The sequence below is a fragment of the Homo sapiens genome, chromosome 1 (assembly GCF_000001405.40).
Source record: "Homo sapiens chromosome 1, GRCh38.p14 Primary Assembly".
In the NCBI taxonomy this organism is placed as follows: Eukaryota; Metazoa; Chordata; class Mammalia; order Primates; family Hominidae; genus Homo; species Homo sapiens.
Genome location: NC_000001.11, coordinates 4,654,195 through 4,670,760, shown reverse-complemented (window position 1 = coordinate 4,670,760; position 16,566 = coordinate 4,654,195). Strand labels below are relative to the sequence as shown.

The following is a 16,566-nucleotide window of genomic DNA, read 5'->3' as shown; positions in this document are numbered from 1 at the left end:
CATTTTCCTGAACAGGCTGTCCAGTGCATTCTTGGGATAGGAAACTGGAGACCAATGAGGCTGGGCGATGAGACCTGCACTCGTCATGGCTCGACAACCTGGGCACTGGAGTGGGGAAACCAGGCAGTTTGCAGGGATCCAGCAGGAGCCTAGGCAGCATGCTTCCATGCCAGCAAGAACGCTGCTTCCAGTGAAAAGTAACAGGCTCACAAACCAGGTCACTGCCAGGGAAGCTCCCAGTTCACCGTACATGGGTGGGTCACAAGTTCCTTGTTACTGTGGGTCAGGGCTGATGTCATACTAAAAGGATCAATGTCGACTTGGGTATTTTTCAGTAGATCACATGGCTCAGCTCTGAGGTCCAGGAAAAGGGGAAAGGAAAAGGCACCAAGAATAAGATTCATCCCGGGGCAATTGCTTTAATCCACTCCCAAAATGGTTCATAATTCCTCTTTAGTGCAGAGCTGATAAAAAGTGCTGCTTCTCACTGAGCCTCCTCCCTGGGGATGTGTAAGGAGTAAAGACAGACCGGCTGCCACAGGCCCAGCGCTGTGAACAAGGTGCACAGGCATAGAGAGGCCTGTCTGCAATCTAGGATGAGATGGGGAAGGAGCCTGCATTGGCTCTGTTGCTGGGCAGCCACCTGTAAATGGTAGGGGGTCACCATCCTTCCAGCCCTGTGCAGGGCTGAGTGACATCCCCGTTTTTCAGATGAGAAAACTGAGGCTCAGAAAAACCATGGGAACTTCCAAAGATCACACAAATGCTGTAGCAGTGCCGTAACTAGGCAATTGTGGATAAAGCCCGTGTCCAAGAAGTGTTGATGCCTAGGTATGTCCCTCAAAGGATCAAAAACAGGGACCGAAACAGACACCTGTACATGTATGTTCACAGCAGCAATGTTCACAGCAGCCAAAAGGTGGAAACAACCCAAATGTCCATCAGTGGATGGACAGGCAAACAGCACGTAGCCTATCTGCAGTGTGGCACAGAATTCATCATAAAAAGGAGTGAAGTACTGATGCACGCTACAATGTGGGTGAACTAAAAAACATTATGCTAAGTGAAAGAAGCCAGACACAAAAGGTTACATATTGTATGATGTGGTTTGGCTGTGTCCCCATCCAAATCTCACCTTGAATTGTAATAATCCCCACAATCAAGGGCGGGACCAGGTGGAGGTCATTGGATCATGGGAGCGGTTTCCCTCATGCTGTTCTCGTGATAGTGAGTGAGTGCTCATGAGATCTGATGGTTTTATAAGCGCCTGGAATTTCCCCTGCTTGCACTCACTTCATCCTGCCGCCCTGTGAAGGTGCCTGCTTCTCCTTTGCCTTCTGCCATGATTGTAAGTTTGCTGAGGCCTCCCCAGCCATGCGGAACTGTGAGTCAATTAAACCTCTTCCTTTATAAATTACCCAGTCTCGGGCATTTCTTCATAGCAGTATAAGAATGTATTAATTGTATGATCTCATTTATATAAAATGTCCAAAACAGGCCATACTGAAGACACAGGAAGTAGGTAAGTGGTTTCCAGGGGGACGGGGAATGACTGCTAAAAGACATGGAGTTTCCTTTTAGGGTGATGAAAAGGTCTTGGAACTAAAGAATGGTGATGGTTGCACAACATTGTGAACACACGAAATGTCACTGAAGTTTACACTTTAAAATAGCTCATTTTATGTTATGTGAATTTCACTTCAATTTTAAAAGCAAGCTAAAAAAATGTTGGCTGAGTCTGACTCCTTCCTGTTGTCTGAATCTAGGTCCCTCTCATTGACTGACTCTGACTATCTCCTGTAAAATTCAAATTGCCCTGTGGCAACTGACATAAATTCTACCTACTTGTGACTCACTGGGAACACCAGAATTCCTACGTAAGGAATTGTCATGGACTTCAGTCTCTCACTGAAAATGAGGGAAAATAAAAGGCAGGCAGAGCCCGGCAAGAAAGCCTGGACAGTGAAGGCTCCACCCCGTGGGCATTAACCCTGGATGTGCCCCGTCTCCCAGGCAGGGGACCCCGGCTCCAGGATATGCACAACCTGCGGAAACAGAGATGGATGAGCCCCACACTCCCCAGGAATCCCCGTCCCAGGACTGAGCCACCAGAGCCTGAGTTACGGGCACACTCCTCTTGGAGTCCTCAGGCACCACTCTGCTGCCTTTGTATGACCTTAGGAAAGTTGCTTACTCCTGCTCTGCCTCAGTTTACCCATCTGTGAAATAAGGCTAATAATATTTCCTGACCTTGAAGGTCTGCTGAGAGATTTTGTTAATTACATTTTTAAACAGCTTTTCAGTTGATGAAGGAAAAAGTGCAGACATGTATTACTTGGGCATTTTAAAGTCAACTGATGCCTCACACCTACAACCTCACAACACACAGACACCCACAGACACACACACACACACACGCACACGCACACACACACACAGCACTGCTCTCTAAGCTACTTTAAGAAGAGGGCTTTTAGCTTCAAATACACAGGATTGGCCCCACACAAGGAGGAAGAAAGTTGCCACCCTAATGGCATTTTTTTTTTTGAGATAGAGTTTCACTCTGTCACCCAGGCTGCAGTGCAGTGGTGCGATCTCAGCTCACTGCAACCTCTGCCTCGCAGGTTCAAGCAATTCTCCTGTCTCAGCCTCTGACTAGCTGGGACTACAAGCATATACCACCACGCCTGGCTAATTTTTGTATTTTTAGTAGAGATGGGGTTTCATCATGTTGGCCAGGCTGGTCTTGAACTCCTGACCTCAAGTTTTCCTCCCGCCTCTACCTCCCAAAGTGCTGAGATTACAGGCATGAGCAAACACTCCTGGCCTTACCCTAACGGCATTCTTTAGGGAGGAATCCAACTTCCCCAAACGTCTTCCCCTTCCCACTTGAAACCTCCATGTTCACTCAGTGCTGTGGGCTCATTGCCTTGTGTCTCAGGGGCTCTTCCCAAAATTCAGACCCACAGCTTGGGTGGGACGATGACTTCACCCCAAGCAGCAACTGACTGGGGGTCCGGTTCTCTAAGGAAGGGGTCCCCAACCCTGGGCCATGAACCAGTACCAGCATCTGTTAGGAACTGTCCTCACAGCAGGAGGTGAGCAGTGGGTGAGCCAGCATCACCATCTGAGCTCCGCCTCCTGTCAGATCAGCAGTGGAATTAGATTCTTCCAGGGGCACTAACCCTACTGTGAACCATGTATGTGAGGGATCTAGGTTGTGCACTCCTTATGAGAATCTAATGCCTGATGATCTGAGGTGGAACAGTTTTATCCAGAAACCATCCACCCGCTCTGTCCCTGGAAAAATTGTCTTCCATGAAACTGGTCCCTGGTGCCAAAAAGGTTGGGGACTGCTGTTGTAAGGTGAGAAGGTCCCCACGGAGGGGCAGGGGCAGGTGGCTGGTTGGGGCTGGAAGGGTGGAGAAGCAGCAAGAGACTCAGGAAAGGAAAGTTGGGTCGTCAGGGCCTGTCACACCTTTGTGCCCACGTGGTCTAGGCTGGCATTTTCCCTCAGACTAATTCTGAGTAAAAGCAGAGCCTGGGAATCATGGCAACTGACCGCAGACGTGTTTCCTGGGGCCAGGCCAGTTGTCTTCCCCGCCTGGGGAGTCCTCTGGGACTTCCCTAAGACCACAGCCCCAGAGGGCTGCCTCTCCCTCCCTCTGCTTACCCCAGGGCTCTCCTTCCACAAAACTAAGCTGCTCCACCAGGACACAGAGGTTCCATCCCACGCAGCTCCCATGATTCACGGGCCCCTCTCTGCACCCTCCTGTGATTCACAGGCTCCTCTCTGCAACCCCTCCGTGATTCATGGGCCCCTCTCCGCACCCCTCTCGTGATTCACGGGTCCCTCTCCATAACCCTCCCGTGATTCATGGGCCCCTCTCTGCACCCTCCTGTGATTCACAGGCTCCTCTCTGCAACCCCTCCGTGATTCATGGGCCCCTCTCCGCAACCCTTCCGTGATTCACGGGCCCCTCTCCGCATCCCTCCCGTGATTCACGGGCCCCTCTCCGCACCCCTCCCGTGATTCACAGGCCCCTCTCCGCACCCCTCCCGCGATTCTTGGGCCTCTCTCTGCAACCCTCTGGTGAATCACAGGCCCGCTCTCCGCACCCCTCCCATGATTCACAGGCACCTCTCCGCACCCCTCCCGTGATTCACGGGCCCCTCTCCGCACCCCTCCCGTGATTCACGGGCCCCTCTCCGCACCCCTCCCGTGATTCACGGGCCCCTCTCCGCACCCCTCCTGTGAGTCACGGGCCCCCTCTCTGCACCCCTCACTCCCCAGGGTCTGTCATTTGCTTTCCCCTTGAACGCACACGGGCAGAGAGCATGACACTTTCCCTGGGACCCTGGCCCTAGATGGCTCCAGTCCTGGGGCCTGCTGGCCTTTCCAGTCTCCTCCAAGCATTCCCCCCGCAACATACACCTTCCTCTCCAGCTTCACAGACCCAACTCCTAAGGGCTGACCCAAATACACCTGCCCTGCCCTCCTCCTGGGTGGGCCAGAGGAGCCTCAGTGGGCTATTTCACTGCGGGGTGCCCCTCCTGGGTGGGCCGGAGGAGCCTCAGTGGGCTATTTCACTGCGGGGTGCCCCTCCTGGGTGGGCCGGAGGAGCCTCAGTGGGCTATTTCACTGCGGGGTGCCCCTCCTGGGTGGGCCGGAGGAGCCTCAGTGGGCTATTTCACTGCGGGGTGCCTCCACATCCCCATCTGTGCAGCACACTCACCACCAGTGCTCCGTAAACGGCAGCCACCCCATTCCCTCCGCCTGGCTGTCCCTTCCTCCTCGGGCCCAATGGGCTTCCTTCCTCTCATCCTCTGAGAAGGGAGTCAAACGCTGCTACCTCTGGGAAACCTTCCCCATCTCCTTCTTCCTCTTGGCTCCTGCAATTCCATTTGCTCCTCTGTCCTCTCCTCCACTTGGAGTTCCTGTAGGACCAGGAGAGGGGTCTTTTCATCCCTGTGCCCAGCACAGCACCCAGCACGCGGTGGCCACTCATCCGTGTCTGCTGCATGAAAGTGTCTGGATGTCAGGCCCATAGGCAGCCTGTCCCAGGACAAACCTCAGTGGCTACCATACCTGTCACGCTGCCTGGCTCTCACCTGGGGCCAGCAGACTCTCGGGGGACCACTTGCGTGGCTGGTGCCACAAAACCCCAGCCCAGTGCTCCCCAGGGACCGTCGGGGTGAGAGCCTGAGAAACAGATGCTGTTGGAGTGAGTGTGGCGGCTCAGGTCTTCCCAGAGCATCAGGCTTCTGTGCAGAGAATCAAATTAGCCCAAAAAATGCTGAAGGAAGAAGGAACCTGGAGCTGTGAGTGTTCAAAGAGACCCTCCAGGGTAGTAATGGGCAGTAAATTAGCCCAGTACCGGGGCTTAATCAAGAGTCCCCAAAATGCCCCTGGAAGCCTGCACAGTGTAATGCCACAGCATCCAGGAGACCCAGGCGCCTAATGGGGCCATTCCATCAACATTTTCTGGGATTTTGAAATGCAGTGTCATAAAAATAAACATGCTTACTCTTGTCTCGCATAATTGGCTCCCTAAAGAATCCTTGCCTTCTGAAAGCCACCGTGTCCCTCAGCAGGAAGCACAGCTTTTTTCAGCATCTGGGTACAGTCTTGAATTTTCTCTTGACAAAAAAGAGGGGGGTGGGGGCGTCGACTGAAAACCAGCTCTCGTGGGGCTTTTTCCGCATTTTACCACACTCCTTTCCAAGCCAGAGAGCACAATCCTCAGCTGGTCCTGGGGCAGAGGCTTCTGCCACAAAGGCTGACATCGTGGTTCAGATAGGTTCCTTGCTAACACGCCAAATACAATGACCCTGCCTAGTAACTGAATCTTTTATATATATCGTAGCTGCATGCCTAGGAAGTCTACCGGCACCATCCGTGGGTGATTGCTTCACCCTTGCCTAAGATGGCTCTCTGCAACCATTCGGGAAATTGAATCCACAGCAGGATACTGACTTCTGTCTGATCAGGGCTGTAGTCAGCCTGGTAGGGTGGTTACGGGACTCTGTCATTGAGTCATTCAGATGCTCCAAGTAGAAGCAAATGAGAGCCAGGCAGATGCCACCAAAGGGCAGCCCAGGAAATGAGCAAAATCGCCAGCTCTCTCCTGGGTCCATTCTCTTTCTTCACCTGTGTAAAAATGACACCCCGGCAGAAGGGCATGACCGGGGCCCCCCAGCTGATGGTGGGGATCAGCTGGTGAGAGGTGGTCCCTGCTGTACTCTAAGCAGGGCTGACCCTTGGGCCCAACCACCCGGACAGGCTGCTGCTGTCACCTGGCAACTCCACCACCATTGTCCCCCTACCAGGCTCAGAACGCTTGAAGCTCCAGGCATGTCCTTTTCACCTCCATACCATGGGCATCCATGTATGTTCTGTGCGGTGCCAGGCAGCAAGGAAATTGGCCCTGGATGCTGGGCTCAAATCCCATACTTGGCTGCCTGCCCCAGCCTGGTGGATGCTGTATTCCTTAAATACATCCAATCCAAAGTGTTCTTCTAGACTAGGAAGAACAGGATGTAACGGTTCAGAGGCCAGATGCTGGAGCTGAGTGCCTGGGTTTGAGTGCGGGCTCTGCTATTTACTTGCTGTGTGGCCTGGGGAAATTCATTCAGGTTCTCTGTGCCTTCTCTGCACACAGGAGATCCTTAAAGTGCTCCTACCATAGCAATGTAGGAATGAGTTAAGATACGGCACGGGCATAGAACAGTGCCTGCTACATAGTAAGTGTCATGCAACTGTTCACTGATATGTTGCATACACAGGCCTCAGTGAGGGTGTTTATGAGAAAGAACCTGCGGCTATGAGCAAGCCCCGCACCCAGGCCTCCCGAAAAGGGCAGTTTTGCAGTACTGGAGTCACCCTTCTTTCATCCCATGTCCTATGCAGACACGGCAAACAGTCTGTAGGCACTTTTCTCTCTCTAAATCCCCAGAAGAACTCAGAATCCTTCTCTACACAGAGCTCGAAGAAGCAACTACCGAAGAGTCCACACCGGTTGCAAGAGTTGAGATCTTTTCCCCACCCCTAGGTCTGGGCAGCTAACAACTTGGCAGCTGAATACAAAGACCGTCTGGGGCCAGTTGAGCCGAGACCCTCATCCACACTCATGGGGCCAGCACAAGAGGGATGCCAGGAGCTCCTCCAGGCGCCACCCTCCTCCCACCTGCAGCCTGCATTTGAGGTGCCTGGGCGCCATGGGTTCGCTGTCATCTACCCCAGGATGGGAAATGTTCTCTTAATTTCTCCCTCTTATGCAGTTGGGTTCTTCCAAGTCTGTGGTTGGTGCCGAACAATCCCCATCATGGAATTCCTGGAATCCATGGCCTGCTTGAGGGCTGCCCCTTCTGTGAGTGGCAGCATCTAACACCCACCAACACCCGTGCTTTCTGGAGGTGCTTTCCACAGTCTGCCCTGTGCCTATGACCCTGGCCCTGCCTCATCCATCAAACATGATGCCTGGCTGGGTGCAGAGACTCATGCCTGGAATCCCAGCACTCTAGGAGGCTGAGGTGGGATGATCGCTTGAGCTCAGGCATTTGAGACCAGCCTGGGCAACACAGCAAGACCTAATCTATTCAAAGTATAAAAAAATAAATAAAATAAAAACAAAATGATGCCCTTCAGCCCTCACTAGATGATGCTCCATGAGGATGGTTTCCCCAAACTGGCCCCACTGCCCCCCTGGGAAGGGGGAGGCACGGCTGCCTCCCTTACATTCCCTGGAAGCCCCCTGAAGCCCACACTTTCCACGTGCAGGGGAGTAGGCACAGTTTGGGTCCTTCAAGAGACCACTGACCCTCTCCCCTCCACCTCCAGGCATCTGACCAGATAGGACTTCTTCTAATGCTTCAAAATATTCCCCTTTATACCAAGGCAGAATGGAAATGCCTGTTCTCCATCGAACCAAAACACATCCCCGTGGCAGAATGCACTCGACACTCAATAAATGCTTATTGAATGCGAAATGTTCGAATCAACAATGGCTTGTGTGTAGGGAGTTCTCTTTAGAACAAGAGGGAGGAGCCTATCCCACCCCAGAGCTGGACCACGGGCGCCTAGCCCGGCACATTTTCCATCCATCTAACGACACATAAGGGGCTTCTTGCGGCCCCACCGAGCACTGACGTCTGTGGTTATAAAGTATAACGTGGAGGCAAGAGAAATGAAAACAACATCCATCCCGAGGCGTGCACGCGAAGTTCATGGCAGCGCTGCTCCCCCAGCCCCAACATGCCAACAACCCAACGGTGCATCAGCAGGTGAACCGGCAAGCCAACGGGATGTCTGAAAATCAGGATACCATTCAGGAACAAAAAGGGAATGACGTGGCAAGCTACTGCGTAGACACACCTCAGAACATGACACTAAAGAAGGCAGACAAAAAGGATGACCACATGCTGGAGGATTCCATTTACAGGAATAGTGAGGATGGGCAAATCCATCAAGGCCAAATCAGAGGAGTGGTCGTCAAAGGCTGGAGGCAGGAACGGGGATTGCTACAAACAGCAAAAGGGATCTTATCAGGGGTGAAGCAACCGTGCTGAAACTGGACCATGGCAATAGTTGTGCAACTCGGCCAATTTCCTAAAAATCAATGAACCATATACTTTCAATGGATACATTTCATTGCATGTAAATTGTGCTTCAAAAAAAATGCACACACACACAGACACACACACACACACACACAAATATAAAGGGCAATTCCTTTTACTCAGACTTCTTATGCTAAACCCAACTTTCTCAATGTGATCATTCATTGATTTCCACAGTTTTTAATTTCAAGAAAGCTCTCGATAGAGGCCTCCTTGGATTTGGTGACATATTTATTTTTAATTATTAAATAGATTGAATAGCAGTATCTGTGTCACAGATAGGTTTTCATCTCCCCATGACGTTTCATTAATTCTGTGCTGCAAAATAATCTGTCATTTGACCATAAACCTTTTACTTAAAATCATGGGTACCAGAGAGACTTGTGATTTCAGAGTCAGCTGAACACACGGCTAAATCCATGAAGTGCTGACTTGGCATCACAGCAGCTGGGTCCTTCTTGTTTTATTTTTTGTTGTTGTTGTTTGAAAATTTTGTTTTGTGTTTCCCAAAAGGGCAACCTGTAACTTAATAAAGTGAGTAAGAAGTAGATTTTGTATAAGACAAGAAAGCCACAGAGGTCAGCATAAGGAGCACGAATGGACCTTCGAGTCCTGGAAACCTGGGTTCAAATCCCACCTCTCCCATGAGCTAGCTGTGTGACCTTGAGCAAATTACCTAACCTCTCTGTGCTCCAGTTTTCTCCTGTGTGAAATGGGAGCAATAATACCTGCCTTGCAGGGCCACCCTGAGGAACATGAGGGTGGAGTGGGACAATGCAGAATGGCTGAACAGTTTAGCACCGTTGGATCAGATCACTTAGCACAAAGCCTGGCTTAGGAAAAGCCTAGCAGTATTACAGTATTAGTTCCAGCACCTCCCATCTGGATGTGAAAAGAGAAAGAGTATCAGGTGTAGGTCATGATATCTCAGAAGTTCACAGACAAATCTGATAGAGCTGCCCATTGTATCTCCCAGTTTCATTCAACAAGTCCTCATAGAGCACCCCAGCCCCCAGTTCTTTTATCATAAAGCCCCAAATGAGGTGATAAGAGCAAAGCCACAAACCAGTGTCTGCCTTCTCAAGCTTGAGGCTCATGTTTCCCTGATCTAGAAACAGGAAACCAGCTGTTTTTGTGTTTGACTTAAAATCCTCAGAATATGGTCTTGAAGCCTATAAGCCAGGGTAGAAAAGTGGGGCTGACCCCGAAAACCTGCTCTATCTTCAGAGTTGACCTAATTTACGTAAAGATGTGGACAGATCTTCTTATCCAATAATTATGCCTGAAGTCATTTATTACTGTCACCGATGATGGATCTCATAACATTAGCAACACTGCACGTTCATATGCTGCTGAATTTTTCGTTCTAAAATATGTGGTAGAGACATAACTGAGCAAGTTTTGTAAAACAATTTTTTTACCCCTTTCCCCATTTCCACATCACCTTTGACTGCTGTTAAATACAAATACACGACCCCTAAAAAAGCTAAATACTCACATACACACACGTGTGCCCATGCTTGCCAGTCAGATCAGTTAGGCACTAATCTCTGACAGATTAGTAGAGAATGTTAGTTTGTTTCTTTTAATTAAACCTTTAATTTTAACTGTGGAATTGCAGGCATTGTAAGACATCATACAGAGAGACCCTGTGTACCCCTCACCGAGATTCCCCCAGTGGTAACATTTGCAAAACGACAATACAATAATATAACAGGATTGTGACACGGATATAGTCAAGATAGAGAACGTTTCCATCACAACAAGGAGGCCTGATGTTGCCCTTTTGTAACCACACCCTCTTTCCTTCCGTTCCCCACTCCTTCTTTGACCCCTGGCAACTACTCATCTGTAGCAGTAGTAGTATGAGTATTGTACCACGTCTATAATTTTGTCATTTTGATGCAGGGCCGGCATGCCCCAAAGTGAGGCTTAGACCATGAGGGTTCTCGGCTTTGCCCAGAAAAGAATTCAAGGGCAAGCCAGTGGTAGAAGAAAAACAGCTTTATTGAGGAGGTGTTCCAGCTCTGGTGGTGTGGTGGTGTTACCGGTCCGGCAGTGTGACAGCTCCGTGTCTGCCGCTGCAGAACAGGGCTGCCCCATAGGCAGCGTGCTGAGAGTAGCAGCTCGGGGCAGCTTTGCAGTTGTATTTATACCTACTTTTAATTCCACGGAGATTAAGGGGCGGTTTATGCAGAAATTTCTAGGGAAGGGGTAGTGATTTTTGGGTCATCAGGTCATCGCCATGGAAAGGGCAGTAACTACTGGGTGTTGCCCTGGCAATGGTAAACTGACATGGCACATTGACGGGCATGTCTTATGGAATGGTGCTTCCATCCTGTCCCTGTTTTAGCTAGTCCTCAATTTGGTCCACAGTCTGAGTCCCACCTCCAGAGTCAAGTCCCATCTCCTACCTCAATTTCAATGCTATGAAATCATCATATAGTAAGTAACCTTTTGGGATTGACCCAGGAGTAGCCAGTCCTCCTCTCTCCTCCTGGTGCCTGATCTTATCCCAGCTCTGAGGCGGATGTACTTGGGGACACGCCCAAGGGCCACCAGAGGTCTGACATGGACACCCTCCAGCCTGACTCTCTATTCAAGGCAGATTAACTGAGAGTTAATCTGAATTATGTAACCACCACCACTCCCTGCTCCGAGGCCTCATGACTCACCAGCCCCTTTGAATTCCTGGAAGGGGTCTCAGAGGAAGAAAGAATGGAGTCGACTGTACCACGTTTGCCTGCTCTAGCCCCAGAAAGCCCCTGCTCCTGTCTCCTCCTTGTGTCTGATTGGCATCAGGCAGGAGAAACCCTCTCAAGCCAGACTTCAAATGTAAAATCTAGATCAAGGATATATTTGGCTTTCCAAGCTAATCTTTACATCAATTTGGTCTCTACTGACTTGTAACCCTTTGAAGAAAACTTGGCAACTACGTATTTAAAACAGATGACTCTTATATAACCCCTGAGAGGAGCCCCTGGGCTCTTGAAGGCTCAGCTGTTTGCAATCCAGTCAGGGTTTTGTGTTTACCTACTTCATTGTAACCCAGGGTCACACTCCAGGTACCCTGTGGCTTTCCCACAAAAAGCTCAGGGAAATGCAGAACCCAGGAGCACACAGGGCCCCACCTGCCAAACACCCCATTTGTGTGTGGGTCAGAGGGACTGGCGCTGTGGAAGTGGAGACTGGGTTGGGGTCCAGAAGCACCTCCAGCGACCCCCGCTAGAAAGACGCAGGTGCATGCCTTGGAGAAGCCGGCGCTGCTCTGCCTCCAGGGACCCAGAGACAGCTGTCCCCGGCAGGCGTGGGGCTGTCTCCATTCCTGAGCTGCGTTGCCCTGCTCCCCTCTCCAATGCATGGAAGAAAAGGAAGCAGGTGATCAAAGTAAATAAACAACAGGGACACACTGGGAGGAGTCTGCCATCAGCTCCTCCACTTGGCCAGTGTATCCCCAAGGTGGGGGTGAGCATGAAAGGGGGGTATGTACCGATGTTGCCCAAAGATTTGAGCTGCCTCCTAAATTTGCAGTTTAGTCAAGCATGATTGTCCCCGAGGAGTAGCACAGCCGCTGACACTAGATAGATTCCAGTTGCAATCAATTTAGTAGCAGCAGCTGGAAATCGGCGCGAGCCAGGATTCACCCGGAGCGCAATGTTTGTGGACTGCGCGTTTGACTTCATCCGCTAAAGCTGGGCTGCACAGCCCCAGCTGCCTGGGGACTCTACAGCGAGGATGGTGACAGCCAAGCCAATGGATCCCTGCCATGAGGCCCAGACATGGTACAGCGCGCACTGAGAGGGCTTGGGGAACTGTGAATTATGTCAACACACACACCCAGGGCCTCCCAAACAAAAGGGGCCCCAGAACCTTGGAGCGGGAGAACAGATGGGATGGCCGCAGGGACATGGGCTGGGAATGAGCTCGTGGCACTCTGCTAGGGATCACAGTCCTGAGCGCAACCCAGCAAACGTATTAGGTGGACGCTCGGAGCCCCTGAGGAAGCCACAGCATCTGAGGTCTGCAGCCTGGGAAGCAACTCACAACCAGGAAGCCAATTCCAAACTCTGGGCTGCTTGCTGAGTACGCGCCCCCTCCACGGGTGAGCTCTGAGCTGCTTGCTGAATACGCGCCTCCTCCACGGGTGAGCTCTGGCAGGGCTTGTCAAGCCACTGGGTCTCCTTCCGTGGCTCCCTCTCTCTCAGCTGATGGAAAGTATCTTTGGAGCTCTGCTACAACTATTAAATGCCACCGCAAAAGACACAAAAGCTGCTCAATAAGTCTCAATCTGCTTCTCCCTCTTGGGGGGAAAAGAAAAAAAAAAAGCTCCACATACAGCTCAGTTCCAACACAGACGTAAATAACCAAGCCCAGACTTCGTCTCTGGGGCCGGAACTAAGAAAGCCCACCCCACCCCCACCCCCACCCCCTGCCCAGCAAGTTACACTGCACCTCTCCCATGGTGGAGCAAGCCAGGCCTTCTGCCACCCCAGCTGGAGGCTCAGTGTCTACCTGTCCTAACCAGGCTCCAAGCTTGGCAGCAAGACGCCCAGTGCTCACCTAGGGAGCCGCGGAGTGGCTTGCAAGCAAAGGTGAAGGGCTGTCTTGAAAGAAAAAGTGCATTTCCAGACCTTGAACTTGCAACCCTTTGGCTCAGAGTCCCCAGGTGCCCATTGTGATGCAAAACCACCCAGACCCTCTGGGTACAGGCCTCCTTCTCTGGCCAGGAGACAGCAGTAACAAGACAGAGCTCTCCCATCAGGATCCCAAATAGGTGACAGCTCGTCCTTAAAGGCACACTTACAGAAAATCTCCTGTGCTGACATCGAGGGGGGAAAAACGAAAGGTCAAACTTCAAAAGAACCAACAGAACTATTTCCTAAAGCAAAATCCCAAGATCCGGCTTGAGGATGCTTGAGAGGAACTGTTTTAGTAAATTTCAAATCAAAAGAGAGGCTTCTTTCCAAGATATTTGCTCTTCTCTCCCTTTATCAAAATGTACTCATCTTTTAATCTAGCAACTTAGCAATAAAAAAAAATGTCTGTTCAAATAAGTTGCCATCAGGAATCAAGTGGCAGCTCAGGAAGCAGGTCGGAGCTGAAGACCAGCCACTGGCCAGTGTGGGGACCCGTCTGGTCATTCACAAAGCCTTGGAAGGTCTTGCTGAGACCTGGGACAGTCCGGGGCAGAGCAGGGGATGGCAGGCCTCCAGGGCACCTGGATCAGGGTCATTCCTGCAAAGCTGTCCTCGCTCCATTTTGCCAACATCCCACAACGGTCCAAGCCTAAACCTTATCTAGCCCAAGCACACTTATCGATTCACGCCCGACCAATATCCCACACCCAACACAATCGGCTCCATGATTAACCTTTGAAGCCCACAGCAAGATCGGCCACTGAGAGAAGGGATGCTAATAATAACATCTGACAATGTTCACTAGATGTGTTACACAGTATTCACCTCTGGGAGCAGAATCGGCTCATAAATCAAGGGTCGCTAGAAAACACTTGGCGTCCCAGTCCCCTTCCGATTTCTCAAAATCAGGACACGCACTAGATCCTCCCTCCCTTCGCCTCACTCCCCCCGCAGCTTCATCCCTGAGTGGGGGCGGCTCAAGCAGCGGGCTAACAACTACTGGCCTTTTCGTCCCCAACGCGGGAGCGCAGTGCATCCCAGTGGACAAACTCGAGAACCGCACGCTGCTCTCCGCCTCCACCTCTGTCCTCCCCGCTCGCGGTTCCAACCCGGGACCCAAATGCACGAGCTCGGTGAATGCCCCGGCAGGAGGGCGAGGGCTCAGAGGCAGCCTGCCCAGCAAAAACGACAGCTGTGCTCTGGTGGGCCCTGGGCCACCCCAGGCAGAAGCCAGAGAAGCCCGAGAACCCCGGCGGGCTGGCAAAGTTTGCCGAGAAGGGTCTTTCTGGACACCCCCACCACGGGCTCTAGGCTCGAACCCCCTCTTCCATCTGGCCCTGGAGTCCCAGACACAGACAAGCCCCGGGCGCGCCGGCGGGCGTATGTGCGTGTGTGTTTACAGCGGGGTGGCCGCCGGAGCTCCCCAAGAACCCCAGCTCTCCCGCCCCAGCTGCCCGCCAGCTGTGAGCGCCCGTCGGGCCCGGAGGTCACCCGCAAACAGCTGGGTCGGCAGCTGGGAGCCTGGGAGGCCCCTGCTCAGCCCCGGGGCCCCGAGAAAGGAGAAGGGGGAGCGGAGTGGCTGTTTGGCTGTGGTTTCCTCCAACTCCGCCTGCGAAGCTCTCGCTGGGAGCCCGGAGCTTTAGCTTTCCCCGGCAGCCCCGGCCCCCGCGCCCGCCGCGCCCAGCGGCCGGCGCCTCGCCCCGGGCCCCGGGGAGGAGGCGCGCCGGGGCAGCCGGCCAGGACACTGCGCTGCTGGCTCCTAGAGCTGCGGGCGCGCCTGGCCGGCCCCACTTCCCGGGTTGCTGGGGCGGGCGCCGCTGCCCCGACCCCGGACGCGCGGAACCCTGGAGACCCGGCCGCTCCCCGCCAGGGCCGCGGTGCTGCTCCAGGCTCCGGGCGGGCGCCCCTTTCCGGCTACCGGTGCACCCCGTTGCCCGCTTGCGGGAAGCGAAGAGGGGTCCCTTGATTTGCAACATAGAGGAAAGCGCCGCTTCCGCCCAGCCTGGCACCCACGCGCCCACACGCACCCGGCGCCGGCCGGGTCGCTCACCTGAGTCCTAAAAGCTGTTGAATCCACATGGTCACGTTTCGGGGAGCGGGGCCTCAGACCTGGCTCGCCCAGGCCATCTGCGCGGCGCCCGCGCCCGCTCGCTTCCGTCCCGCGGCGCCGGTCTCCGGCTCTCGGTCCGCCGCCTCCCGCCGCCCGCCGGCCGCGGGGCGCACAGCGAGTCAGAGCGCGGCCGCGCGGGGCTCCATGCCGGCCGGCGCGCCGCCGCCGTTGGGGCGCATGGCTCAGGCTGGGCGGCCCGCGGGGGCGCACATCCTCCGGCCGGGGCGCGGGGCTCGCGGCCCCCTCCGCCGGCGGCACAGCGAAGGCGGCAGCGAGGCGGGGCGTGTTCCGGCGCTGTCGCGGCGCAGCAAAGGGCTGGGGAGCCGCGGCTTCGCCCTCCGGGGCGGCGAGGAGGGAGGCCGGCGGCGCTGCCGCTCACGGTGCGTGTCTCCCGGCGCGCGGCTCTTGCCTCCAGCCGGAGCTCCGCGCCGATGGGGCGGCGCTGCTTAGGGTTTGGGGTGACGCGACGCGGACGGACGCGAGTCCCCTCCGCGCTGCCGGGTCGGGGGGCTCTGCCAGAGGCTCCGCCGCCGATCGGCGCCACTCAAGTTGCCCGGGGGCTCCGTCTGAGCGCTCGCTCTGCAGACGGCCGCGGCCCGGAGACTGGCAGGAGGCGGGCACGAGAGGCGCGCGGGGCGAGGGCGCCGTGGAGCGCGGGGCGTGGGGACGCGCGGCGGCGGCGCCGCGCGGAGGAGGCGCGCGGGGATCCCGGGGCCCCGCCGCCCGCGCCCACCGCGCCCGCCGCAGAGCCGCCCGCGCTGCTCAGCCGCCTCCCTCCTCGCGTCTGCCTCTCCGCGCGCTCGCCCCCGCCTCCCGGAGCCGGTCCCAACTCCGCCCGCCCGGCCCGGCTCACGTCACCCGCCTTCCCCGCCCCTCGAACGGGAGCTCGAGCCCCTGGCCTGGCCCCGGCTCCTGCTCGCCGCCCCACCTTGCGGGGGCCGGGGTCGCCGCGGGTGGTGGGGGGCGCTGTGCCCAGCAGGGGCGACAGCGCAGGCGGGGCCTCCTGCAGCCCCCTTCCCCATCCCCGGTCGCGTCCCGGTCCCCACCTTGCGAAAGGCTCGAGAGAGGCCGCAGGCTAGGATTGGACCGCCGGGCGCCGCCGGATGGTGTTGCCAGGGTAACCGGATGGCACGCGAAGCCGTTCGAGGTTCCGACCCGGTTACGGGGGCGCCCAGTGGACCCGGAGAGCTACTTTGGGGA

The 16,566-nt window shown here is 54.5% G+C and overlaps 1 protein-coding gene across 3 annotated transcripts in view; it reads right to left on the bottom strand.

Moving 5' to 3' along the window:
- AJAP1 (adherens junctions associated protein 1) overlaps nt 1-16,152 on the bottom strand; it is a 137,926-nt gene extending 121,774 nt beyond the window's left edge. For all 3 annotated transcript variants that reach the window (XM_011541786.3, NM_018836.4, NM_001042478.2), the window contains exon 1: nt 15,307-16,152. In XM_011541786.3, coding sequence (XP_011540088.1) covers nt 15,307-15,335 — 29 coding nt within the window. In that variant the 5' untranslated portion in view covers nt 15,336-16,152. The remainder of the gene's footprint in view (nt 1-15,306) is intronic.
- Nucleotides 16,153-16,566: the final 414 nt, after the last annotated feature.